Source organism: Homo sapiens, chromosome 13 (genome assembly GCF_000001405.40).
Source record: "Homo sapiens chromosome 13, GRCh38.p14 Primary Assembly".
NCBI classification, from domain to species: Eukaryota; Metazoa; Chordata; class Mammalia; order Primates; family Hominidae; genus Homo; species Homo sapiens.
The window spans coordinates 57159933-57171229 of record NC_000013.11 but is presented as its reverse complement, the minus strand read 5'-3'; the positions used below and the strand labels follow the sequence as shown (position 1 = coordinate 57171229).

The following is an 11297-nucleotide window of genomic DNA, read 5'->3' as shown; positions in this document are numbered from 1 at the left end:
GGATTCTCCCGCCTCAGCCTCCCGAGCAGCTGGGACTACAGTGGCCCACCACCATGCCTGGCTAATTTTCCTATTTTTATTAGGGCGAGACATGAGAATCGCTTCAGTCCCGGGAATGGAGTTCTCAGTGAGCCGAAGCCACCGCGCTCCAGCCTGGGTGAAAGAGTGAGAGTCTGTTTCAAAATAAATAAATAAATAAATGAACGAATAAATAAACCAGGAGGAATTACCAAGGGCTCTTGGTGCCTGCCTGCAGTCTGAGCTACTTGGCAACCTGATGTTGGAGGATCACCCGAGCTGAGGAGGCGCAGGCTGCGCTGAGCTGTGATTGCACCACTGCACTCCAGCCTGGATGACGGAATGAGACCCTGTCTTACTCCACGTACCAATGTTTAGTGAAGCATTCTGGTGGTAGAAATATCCTGGAAGTAGCGTATCAGCAGACCACCACCTGCATAATGTAAAAGCTGTGCATCTTTCCAGACAGATATACAGCAAGAAGATAGTGGCACATGTGCGTAGGATGACTGCAAGGGGGCTTTCTGGCTTATGGATGACAGACCCCAATGGCAAGCCAAGAAGCAGCTCCCACTGCACAGTGCTCATTGTGCTCCATGCCATGCTTCAATACGAAGTCGCCTGTTCCTAGTTTGGAGACGCACGGACTCCACAGAGGCTCTGGTCCTGACCACACCTGTGTTGCCTGCCTGGACCTTATAGTCACTTCAGCAGGACCCCTGGCGCATGGCACGCCAGGTGTTTGTAAAAGCGAGCCACAAACGATGCTCTCAATGTACACGTTTGTTGGTGTAGACTTGTGTGACTATGGGGAAAGATGCGATATGAATGGAGAACAGAGACTGGAGCCATTTTTCTACCTTCCTTTCTGCTTTTAGTAAACACATTTTGTATTTGCGATTTGTGAAAGTTTAGTGAAAGAACTGTTCTATAAAATAAGTCTGAAGAGAAAGGTTTATTTAGAAGGATTGAGTACACAAGAGAAAAATCTTTGATGTAAAAAGTTATCTGTATTTTATTTGGACGTTTACAAAGGAGTGAAAACCAGCCAACAACAGCCTACCTAATAAAATACAAAATACAAAAGTTCATAATACAACATTTATCAAACTCTGAAAAGATGGGAACTAACTCAACTTAAACATCTAAGAGACACCTACAGCCAACATCTTGGTTAATGGTGAAACATTCAAAATATTCCCATTAAAGCCAGGAGGAAGCCAAGGACACTGCCGTCAAATTACTGATTCCTGGTTTAGCGGTTCCAGTGAGTCATGCACTCTCCTTGCTTCCGTTAACCGCCCCCCCCCCCACCCCAACACCTTTTGTCTGATTCGTCACATGTCCTTTGATCCCCTTTTTCCTCAATCTGTTTGAAATTTTACCTTCTATTCCAATTCATTTAGTGGTTCCCAAAGGGTACCCACGTTGAGACTTAAAAATGTGTCAGTCTAGATTTTTATTGCTCTTATATTCAGCCAGTCTATCGTCTCCAGGCACTAGAGAAGCACTTTAGTAACTTCTAGCTCCTTCTGAGTTTTCGCATGTCCCACATGTCTATATGAGTGTCTTCTGGAATTTTAATTCTAGGTCATCAATCCTTTTTCCAGAATCGTACTTCTCTGGACTTAAGAATACAGTTTCCTAATTTCCATGCTTAGTGATCCTTGTTGCATCCCACTTCTTCCAGGTTGTCTGGGTTGGCTTCTTCTTGGCTGAAAAACGTGACGTGTACTTTCACTGTACATGACAGTTCCATTCCAATCGCCTTGTACAGAAAGGGTGTTTGGCAGCTTGCATGTTGTAAGTTGCGTACTCCAAGTTCAGGGGAAGCTCAGGCTTCAGGTCCAGTCGGGGGAGGAGTGGAGCAGAAGTGGGGCTGGGGGGAACGTCCAGGTGGAAGGAAGGGAGGCTGGGAACAACGTGGGTGGCAGATAGTGGTCAATACGCAATGTCGGTGAGGAACACTGGGACCCCTTGCACGTAGGTGCCCTGGGGGGTTTGAATGACTTGTAAAACCGCTGAGTCACCCAGAGCCCTAAACCCGATGCAGGGATAGAGGGTCAAGACGGGTTGCCAGTCAACAGCCTGAGGCCCAGGAGCAGCGGGCGGCTCCTGAAACCCCAGCTCAGGTTGCGCCACGTCGGGGCCAGGGCCTTCCTGCACAGTTCCAGGCGGAGGACCTGTTTCAGAAAGGGAGAAGGCTGCGGTCTCCGTGATTTCCGGTTCCCCCTGGTGGCCTGGCTCTCCATGGTGGTCCAGTTGGATGTGCACGTCCGGTGCCATCAAGCCTTCTGCCCCCTGTCTCTGGCCAGCGTCCCCGCGGGGCCCAGCCCTTCTGCCACGGCCTCGCCCTGGCCGCCGGCTTCCTCCCCGGCGCCGGCCTCTCTCTGCAGGAGGGGGTGACTCTGGGCGAGCTGGGGGCTGCCGTCTGAAGGGTTTCACGTAAGCGATGGGTTTTGCGGGTTGGGCTGGCTGTGCGGGCCCATCTGCTTCCACGGAGCCTTCAGGGTCCGCAACACAGCAGCCTGGCTCTGGAGGAGGCCCACCTGAGGCTAAAAGAGAAGCGGAGCGTGAGCAGAGAGAGACAGAAGGAACTTCACCCGTCAAGCAGTTATAGGATACTTTTACAAATAAATACTCAGAGAAAAGAGGGATTTCTGAAGTTAAAATTGTGAGAGAAGAAACAAAACTCTCCACGGAAGTTGGAGAAAGAAGTTGAGAAGGTCTCCCACAGAACAAAGCAAAAACCTAAAATGATGGAAAGAAGGATGAAATATAAGAGAATTAGAGGTATGCTGTGGCTGAGACATTTCACCAGAAAATTTCAGAGTGCTGAGGAAAAAGAGAAGATTCTAACAGATTCTAGAGAGCGGGAGACAGAGAAAGGAAAAGTCACATGGAAAGGGCTAGGATTCCACATGTCTCAAAAGTCAGACATCTCAAAAGCAGCAGTTCAGTCTAGAACATAACAGAAAATGTCTTCGAAATTTCAAGGGAAATGAATTTCCCACCTAAAATTTCCTGTCCAACCGAAGTTTCGCTGAAGAATCTGGGAGGGGAGAATGAAGATGTTTCAGACAAGCAAGATGTTAAAGAATTTCCTTTCAGTGGATGCTTTATTGTTATGCATCTGTCAAACTAGACAAGATTAAAAGATTTAGGACACTCAGCGTATGAAGGGAAAAGTTTTGGAGAACAACGTGGCAACAGCCGGAAAATTCCAACTCCTCCGGGAAAGAACAAGGTGGAAGTACCGGTTTATCATAGATCAAGACGTAGCGTGAGGACTCGCTCTGCTACGGAGAAACAGTAATACAAAACTAAACAGAAGGAAACAGCGACAACAACAGCAAATCTCAGATTTGGGAAATGGGATTACGGTTCGGAAGAGGGAAAGGAATTTCCCAGATGATGTGGAACCCGGGAGCTGACTTCCAACAAGCAGCCCAGGTTGAGGCAGGCTAGGAGAAGGTGAAACAGAGAATGCTTGATTGAGTTTGAGTGTCAACCATTGGGGAAGAATTGGGGAACAGACGAAATTAAAAAGAGAGGAGTGGCAGGCGTTTGATGTACCTTGATTAGGGGCCATGGAGCGAAGTCGCTTCGAAGGCCTTGGTTCCTCCATGAGCAATCGGCGGGAGGGGCTGGGGAGAAAAACAAGAGAGCAAGAACGGATTTAGGAAGACAGAGGTGACAAGGCAGGGGGATGGCCGTGGCCTTTCTAGGGGAATGAGGATTCTGTCCCCAACTGCACCCACCCGAGATCCGTCCACGCCTCCGGGACCCCCAGACACACACCTGATCTTCCCACAGCTGGCTCCGGAGATCTGAAAATTAGGAGACTCTTCGACGAAGAGAGGCCCGAGGAGTCGGAGGTGTCCACAGGTTCACCGCTGTAGCTCTGAGGTAGTCCACCCGCAGCCAGGGAGTCTGGAGGGAGCACGCAGCAGGTTCTGGCTCCGAGCCCAGCAGAAAGCCGACTGCTGGAGGCCGAGCGCCGTCCCTCTTATATGGCAGCAAGGCAGTCGCGTAAGGGACAGGCGTCGTCAGAGGGGGGCCGGCTGGGGCGGGCCTGGCTGGGCTTGCGAGGCGCATTGGGCCAGTCCCCTGCCAGTCAAATGGGGGCCCTTCTGAGATGCCGCCATTTCTAGACGTCCGTGGTTGATTGATTAATCTAATCATCGAGGAAAAAAAATTGCATAATGACCTCTGAGTGTCAGCACAATGAGGTGTGGTGCCCTGAAAGCGGCTGACAGGAAGATGCGATTAGCTTAGATCTGAGCATGGTCAAGGAAAGCATCCAAAGCGGGGATATCTGGGCTGAAATCTGGAACATAACGTTTGAAATTAGTCATCCTGAACCGGGTTGGGAGAGGCAGGGAGGGAGGAAGGGGAGTGAAGAGAGTGTGCTGAGGCCCGGACTGGAAGGGAGCCCGGCACATTCTGGGAATGGACGGGAGGCCAAGTCCAGGCCCGGAGGTGGTGCGAGGTGGAGGCAGGGTCCGCGCAGGAGCTGGTCTTGTTCCAAGGCAGCGGAAAACCGTGGAACGGTGTCCGGCAGCGGGTTAACATTTCAGAAACGACCAGCCTGGCTGTGAAGGAGCGCCAACCCAGGGTCCGCAGAATAAGTCAGGAGAGGCAAGAAGGCTATTGCAGCCCTCGGGGTTGGGCGCAGGGTGCTGTTAGACTGAGACTCAGGGAGGTAGAGGAGGAGAAAGTTCCCTGGTGGGAGAGAAATTTCCAAGAGAAAGCGAGACCCAGTGTGGACAGCCCTTGAGGAAGAGACTGCGGCCTTGGTAGCCCGCCGGTTCATTCAGGCAGAGGTGGACCGAGAACCTGCTCTGAACGGGAAGTTGCGGAGCTTGGCTTGCGCACATCTGGTTGAAGGGGCTTTTGAACTGCCAAGTGAGGATGTCAAGTGGCCTTTTGTAAAAAGAGTCGAGCTCAGCGCGATGGCGACGGGGCTGGAGATGCGTGTGAGACCCACACCGCTGGCTTTTATTGCTGTGGGTGCACTCACGGGTGGAGGAAGACAGCGGGAAACACAGCAGGACGCTGGAGGGGATCCCACAGTGGGTTATTTGGTTGGTTTGCATCCTTGTGTCTTTTACAGAGACGGGTTCTCGCTCTGTAGCCCAGGCTGGAGTGCAGCGGTGCCATCTCGGCTCGCTGCGGCTACTTGGGGGGGGGGGGGGGGGGGGGCTGAGATAGGAGAATCAGTTCAAGTGATTCTCCTGTCTCGGCCTCCGGAGTAGCTGGACTACAGGTGAGCGCCACCACATCGGGATAATTTTCGGATTTTTTTGGAGAGACGAGGTTTCGCTATGTGCCCAGGCTTGTTTGGAAGGCCTGAGCTCAAGCCGTCCGTCCCGCTCAACCTCCCGAGTCGCTGGGACCCCAGGCGCAAGCCACCATGCCGGGCCAATTATTTTTTTGGGTTGTATTTCCTGTTGAAGTGAGGTTTTGCTATGCTTTCACCTCACATACCTTTTCTGTCCCAAGACCCCATCCAGGGTACCACCTTACAACTCGTCACGGTTCCCCTTGGCTGCGACGGTTTCTCACACTTGCCTTGTTTTTGATGACCCTGACACTTTGAATACTGATCAGATATATTGTGGGATGTCCTCTCCTGAAGTTCGTGTGATGTATTCCTTGTGATCTGACTGGAATTATATGTTTTTGTCAGGAAGATTGCAGCGGGAAAGCGCCATTCCCATCCCATCCTGTCTAGAGTACACACCATCAAGCCGGCTTATCACTGCTGCTATTAGTCCTGGTCACCGGGCTGGGGCAGTGTTGATTAGGTTTCTCCACCATAAAGTGATTTTCCCACCTCTTTCTCTACTGTGCTTTCTGGAAGTCGCTACCTGTAGCCTATACGTAAAGAAAAGGGAAGTTTTGCTTTATCTCCTTGCAGGGGAATAGCTACCTAAGTTCTGTGGAGTTCTCCTGTGTGGAGGATTTTCCCATTCTCCCCCACATGTTTGTTTATTTAATCACTTATTTATATCCGTATGGACTTATGGACACCTATTGTATGCTTTGGTTTACACTCCAGTACTTCGGGGGATGAATTATTTAATAATTGAACTAATTATTTTGTCAAATATTTTACTTAACTATTTAATTATTAATTATTTAGCTAATTACTTTGTTACTCAACGTTTCCAGCTTTGGCCACCGGGAGCTCCTTTAGTTGGCTTCCGTGTCCCTTTGTCAACCTCCCATCGCTGTGGCTTTTGGCTTTGTTTGGTTTTGGGCGGCTCCTTTCTCCCTGGCACCACAGGATGCTCCATGCTTATTTGCATATTCTCATCCTTATTGGGATTTCGTGTGCTCACTGACCGAACCCATAGATTCTTCTGTGAAGTTTCTCTTCAAAACTTTTATCTTTCTTATTGGGATAACTTCTCTCTCTCTTTTTTCCATTTTGAGACAAAGTTTTGCTCTTGTCACCCAGGCTGGAGTGCAATAGCATGATCTCGGATCACTGCAATGGCGCAGTCTGGGCTCACTGCAACCTCCGCCTCCTGGGCTCAAAGGATTCTCCCGCCTCAGCCTCCCGAGCAGCTGGGACTACAGTGGCCCACCACCATGCCTGGCTAATTTTCCTATTTTTATTAGGGCGAGACATGAGAATCGCTTCAGTCCCGGGAATGGAGTTCTCAGTGAGCCGAAGCCACCGCGCTCCAGCCTGGGTGAAAGAGTGAGAGTCTGTTTCAAAATAAATAAATAAATAAATGAACGAATAAATAAACCAGGAGGAATTACCAAGGGCTCTTGGTGCCTGCCTGCAGTCTGAGCTACTTGGCAACCTGATGTTGGAGGATCACCCGAGCTGAGGAGGCGCAGGCTGCGCTGAGCTGTGATTGCACCACTGCACTCCAGCCTGGATGACGGAATGAGACCCTGTCTTACTCCACGTACCAATGTTTAGTGAAGCATTCTGGTGGTAGAAATATCCTGGAAGTAGCGTATCAGCAGACCACCACCTGCATAATGTAAAAGCTGTGCATCTTTCCAGACAGATATACAGCAAGAAGATAGTGGCACATGTGCGTAGGATGACTGCAAGGGGGCTTTCTGGCTTATGGATGACAGACCCCAATGGCAAGCCAAGAAGCAGCTCCCACTGCACAGTGCTCATTGTGCTCCATGCCATGCTTCAATACGAAGTCGCCTGTTCCTAGTTTGGAGACGCACGGACTCCACAGAGGCTCTGGTCCTGACCACACCTGTGTTGCCTGCCTGGACCTTATAGTCACTTCAGCAGGACCCCTGGCGCATGGCACGCCAGGTGTTTGTAAAAGCGAGCCACAAACGATGCTCTCAATGTACACGTTTGTTGGTGTAGACTTGTGTGACTATGGGGAAAGATGCGATATGAATGGAGAACAGAGACTGGAGCCATTTTTCTACCTTCCTTTCTGCTTTTAGTAAACACATTTTGTATTTGCGATTTGTGAAAGTTTAGTGAAAGAACTGTTCTATAAAATAAGTCTGAAGAGAAAGGTTTATTTAGAAGGATTGAGTACACAAGAGAAAAATCTTTGATGTAAAAAGTTATCTGTATTTTATTTGGACGTTTACAAAGGAGTGAAAACCAGCCAACAACAGCCTACCTAATAAAATACAAAATACAAAAGTTCATAATACAACATTTATCAAACTCTGAAAAGATGGGAACTAACTCAACTTAAACATCTAAGAGACACCTACAGCCAACATCTTGGTTAATGGTGAAACATTCAAAATATTCCCATTAAAGCCAGGAGGAAGCCAAGGACACTGCCGTCAAATTACTGATTCCTGGTTTAGCGGTTCCAGTGAGTCATGCACTCTCCTTGCTTCCGTTAACCGCCCCCCCCCCCACCCCAACACCTTTTGTCTGATTCGTCACATGTCCTTTGATCCCCTTTTTCCTCAATCTGTTTGAAATTTTACCTTCTATTCCAATTCATTTAGTGGTTCCCAAAGGGTACCCACGTTGAGACTTAAAAATGTGTCAGTCTAGATTTTTATTGCTCTTATATTCAGCCAGTCTATCGTCTCCAGGCACTAGAGAAGCACTTTAGTAACTTCTAGCTCCTTCTGAGTTTTCGCATGTCCCACATGTCTATATGAGTGTCTTCTGGAATTTTAATTCTAGGTCATCAATCCTTTTTCCAGAATCGTACTTCTCTGGACTTAAGAATACAGTTTCCTAATTTCCATGCTTAGTGATCCTTGTTGCATCCCACTTCTTCCAGGTTGTCTGGGTTGGCTTCTTCTTGGCTGAAAAACGTGACGTGTACTTTCACTGTACATGACAGTTCCATTCCAATCGCCTTGTACAGAAAGGGTGTTTGGCAGCTTGCATGTTGTAAGTTGCGTACTCCAAGTTCAGGGGAAGCTCAGGCTTCAGGTCCAGTCGGGGGAGGAGTGGAGCAGAAGTGGGGCTGGGGGGAACGTCCAGGTGGAAGGAAGGGAGGCTGGGAACAACGTGGGTGGCAGATAGTGGTCAATACGCAATGTCGGTGAGGAACACTGGGACCCCTTGCACGTAGGTGCCCTGGGGGGTTTGAATGACTTGTAAAACCGCTGAGTCACCCAGAGCCCTAAACCCGATGCAGGGATAGAGGGTCAAGACGGGTTGCCAGTCAACAGCCTGAGGCCCAGGAGCAGCGGGCGGCTCCTGAAACCCCAGCTCAGGTTGCGCCACGTCGGGGCCAGGGCCTTCCTGCACAGTTCCAGGCGGAGGACCTGTTTCAGAAAGGGAGAAGGCTGCGGTCTCCGTGATTTCCGGTTCCCCCTGGTGGCCTGGCTCTCCATGGTGGTCCAGTTGGATGTGCACGTCCGGTGCCATCAAGCCTTCTGCCCCCTGTCTCTGGCCAGCGTCCCCGCGGGGCCCAGCCCTTCTGCCACGGCCTCGCCCTGGCCGCCGGCTTCCTCCCCGGCGCCGGCCTCTCTCTGCAGGAGGGGGTGACTCTGGGCGAGCTGGGGGCTGCCGTCTGAAGGGTTTCACGTAAGCGATGGGTTTTGCGGGTTGGGCTGGCTGTGCGGGCCCATCTGCTTCCACGGAGCCTTCAGGGTCCGCAACACAGCAGCCTGGCTCTGGAGGAGGCCCACCTGAGGCTAAAAGAGAAGCGGAGCGTGAGCAGAGAGAGACAGAAGGAACTTCACCCGTCAAGCAGTTATAGGATACTTTTACAAATAAATACTCAGAGAAAAGAGGGATTTCTGAAGTTAAAATTGTGAGAGAAGAAACAAAACTCTCCACGGAAGTTGGAGAAAGAAGTTGAGAAGGTCTCCCACAGAACAAAGCAAAAACCTAAAATGATGGAAAGAAGGATGAAATATAAGAGAATTAGAGGTATGCTGTGGCTGAGACATTTCACCAGAAAATTTCAGAGTGCTGAGGAAAAAGAGAAGATTCTAACAGATTCTAGAGAGCGGGAGACAGAGAAAGGAAAAGTCACATGGAAAGGGCTAGGATTCCACATGTCTCAAAAGTCAGACATCTCAAAAGCAGCAGTTCAGTCTAGAACATAACAGAAAATGTCTTCGAAATTTCAAGGGAAATGAATTTCCCACCTAAAATTTCCTGTCCAACCGAAGTTTCGCTGAAGAATCTGGGAGGGGAGAATGAAGATGTTTCAGACAAGCAAGATGTTAAAGAATTTCCTTTCAGTGGATGCTTTATTGTTATGCATCTGTCAAACTAGACAAGATTAAAAGATTTAGGACACTCAGCGTATGAAGGGAAAAGTTTTGGAGAACAACGTGGCAACAGCCGGAAAATTCCAACTCCTCCGGGAAAGAACAAGGTGGAAGTACCGGTTTATCATAGATCAAGACGTAGCGTGAGGACTCGCTCTGCTACGGAGAAACAGTAATACAAAACTAAACAGAAGGAAACAGCGACAACAACAGCAAATCTCAGATTTGGGAAATGGGATTACGGTTCGGAAGAGGGAAAGGAATTTCCCAGATGATGTGGAACCCGGGAGCTGACTTCCAACAAGCAGCCCAGGTTGAGGCAGGCTAGGAGAAGGTGAAACAGAGAATGCTTGATTGAGTTTGAGTGTCAACCATTGGGGAAGAATTGGGGAACAGACGAAATTAAAAAGAGAGGAGTGGCAGGCGTTTGATGTACCTTGATTAGGGGCCATGGAGCGAAGTCGCTTCGAAGGCCTTGGTTCCTCCATGAGCAATCGGCGGGAGGGGCTGGGGAGAAAAACAAGAGAGCAAGAACGGATTTAGGAAGACAGAGGTGACAAGGCAGGGGGATGGCCGTGGCCTTTCTAGGGGAATGAGGATTCTGTCCCCAACTGCACCCACCCGAGATCCGTCCACGCCTCCGGGACCCCCAGACACACACCTGATCTTCCCACAGCTGGCTCCGGAGATCTGAAAATTAGGAGACTCTTCGACGAAGAGAGGCCCGAGGAGTCGGAGGTGTCCACAGGTTCACCGCTGTAGCTCTGAGGTAGTCCACCCGCAGCCAGGGAGTCTGGAGGGAGCACGCAGCAGGTTCTGGCTCCGAGCCCAGCAGAAAGCCGACTGCTGGAGGCCGAGCGCCGTCCCTCTTATATGGCAGCAAGGCAGTCGCGTAAGGGACAGGCGTCGTCAGAGGGGGGCCGGCTGGGGCGGGCCTGGCTGGGCTTGCGAGGCGCATTGGGCCAGTCCCCTGCCAGTCAAATGGGGGCCCTTCTGAGATGCCGCCATTTCTAGACGTCCGTGGTTGATTGATTAATCTAATCATCGAGGAAAAAAAATTGCATAATGACCTCTGAGTGTCAGCACAATGAGGTGTGGTGCCCTGAAAGCGGCTGACAGGAAGATGCGATTAGCTTAGATCTGAGCATGGTCAAGGAAAGCATCCAAAGCGGGGATATCTGGGCTGAAATCTGGAACATAACGTTTGAAATTAGTCATCCTGAACCGGGTTGGGAGAGGCAGGGAGGGAGGAAGGGGAGTGAAGAGAGTGTGCTGAGGCCCGGACTGGAAGGGAGCCCGGCACATTCTGGGAATGGACGGGAGGCCAAGTCCAGGCCCGGAGGTGGTGCGAGGTGGAGGCAGGGTCCGCGCAGGAGCTGGTCTTGTTCCAAGGCAGCGGAAAACCGTGGAACGGTGTCCGGCAGCGGGTTAACATTTCAGAAACGACCAGCCTGGCTGTGAAGGAGCGCCAACCCAGGGTCCGCAGAATAAGTCAGGAGAGGCAAGAAGGCTATTGCAGCCCTCGGGGTTGGGCGCAGGGTGCTGTTAGACTGAGACTCAGGGAGGTAGAGGAG

General features: G+C 50.4%; 2 protein-coding genes across 2 annotated transcripts; both read right to left on the bottom strand.

The window, feature by feature from the left end:
• Positions 1 to 1011: 1011 nt before the first annotated feature.
• Positions 1012 to 4033, bottom strand: PRR20E (proline rich 20E). Its single transcript, NM_001130407.1, has 3 exons — positions 3820 to 4033; positions 3595 to 3665; positions 1012 to 2573 (listed from the first exon to the last, which is right to left on the bottom strand). Exons 2-3 carry the CDS (start codon positions 3644 to 3646, stop codon positions 1960 to 1962), a joined length of 666 nt encoding a protein of 221 aa, NP_001123879.1. The 5' UTR covers positions 3647 to 3665; positions 3820 to 4033; the 3' UTR covers positions 1012 to 1959.
• A 3543-nt stretch (positions 4034 to 7576) lies between these two features.
• On the bottom strand, positions 7577 to 10598 carry PRR20D (proline rich 20D). The gene is made up of 3 exons (NM_001130406.1): positions 10385 to 10598; positions 10160 to 10230; positions 7577 to 9138 (listed from the first exon to the last, which is right to left on the bottom strand). The coding sequence occupies exons 2-3, from the start codon at positions 10209 to 10211 to the stop codon at positions 8525 to 8527; spliced, it is 666 nt and encodes a 221-aa protein (NP_001123878.1). The 5' UTR covers positions 10212 to 10230; positions 10385 to 10598; the 3' UTR covers positions 7577 to 8524.
• Between the last annotated feature and the right edge of the window lie 699 nt (positions 10599 to 11297).

Bases quoted from the DNA above. Each gene is read 5' to 3' on its own strand.
- PRR20E (NM_001130407.1), bottom strand. From the start codon at position 3,646: ATGGAGGAACCAAGGCCTTCGAAGCGACTTCGCTCCATGGCCCCTAAT. The intron at 2,574-3,594 runs GTACATCAAACG...CTTCTCTTTTAG, and splicing joins CTCCATGGCCCCTAATCAAG to CCTCAGGTGGGCCTCCTCCA.
- PRR20D (NM_001130406.1), bottom strand. From the start codon at position 10,211: ATGGAGGAACCAAGGCCTTCGAAGCGACTTCGCTCCATGGCCCCTAAT. The intron at 9,139-10,159 runs GTACATCAAACG...CTTCTCTTTTAG, and splicing joins CTCCATGGCCCCTAATCAAG to CCTCAGGTGGGCCTCCTCCA.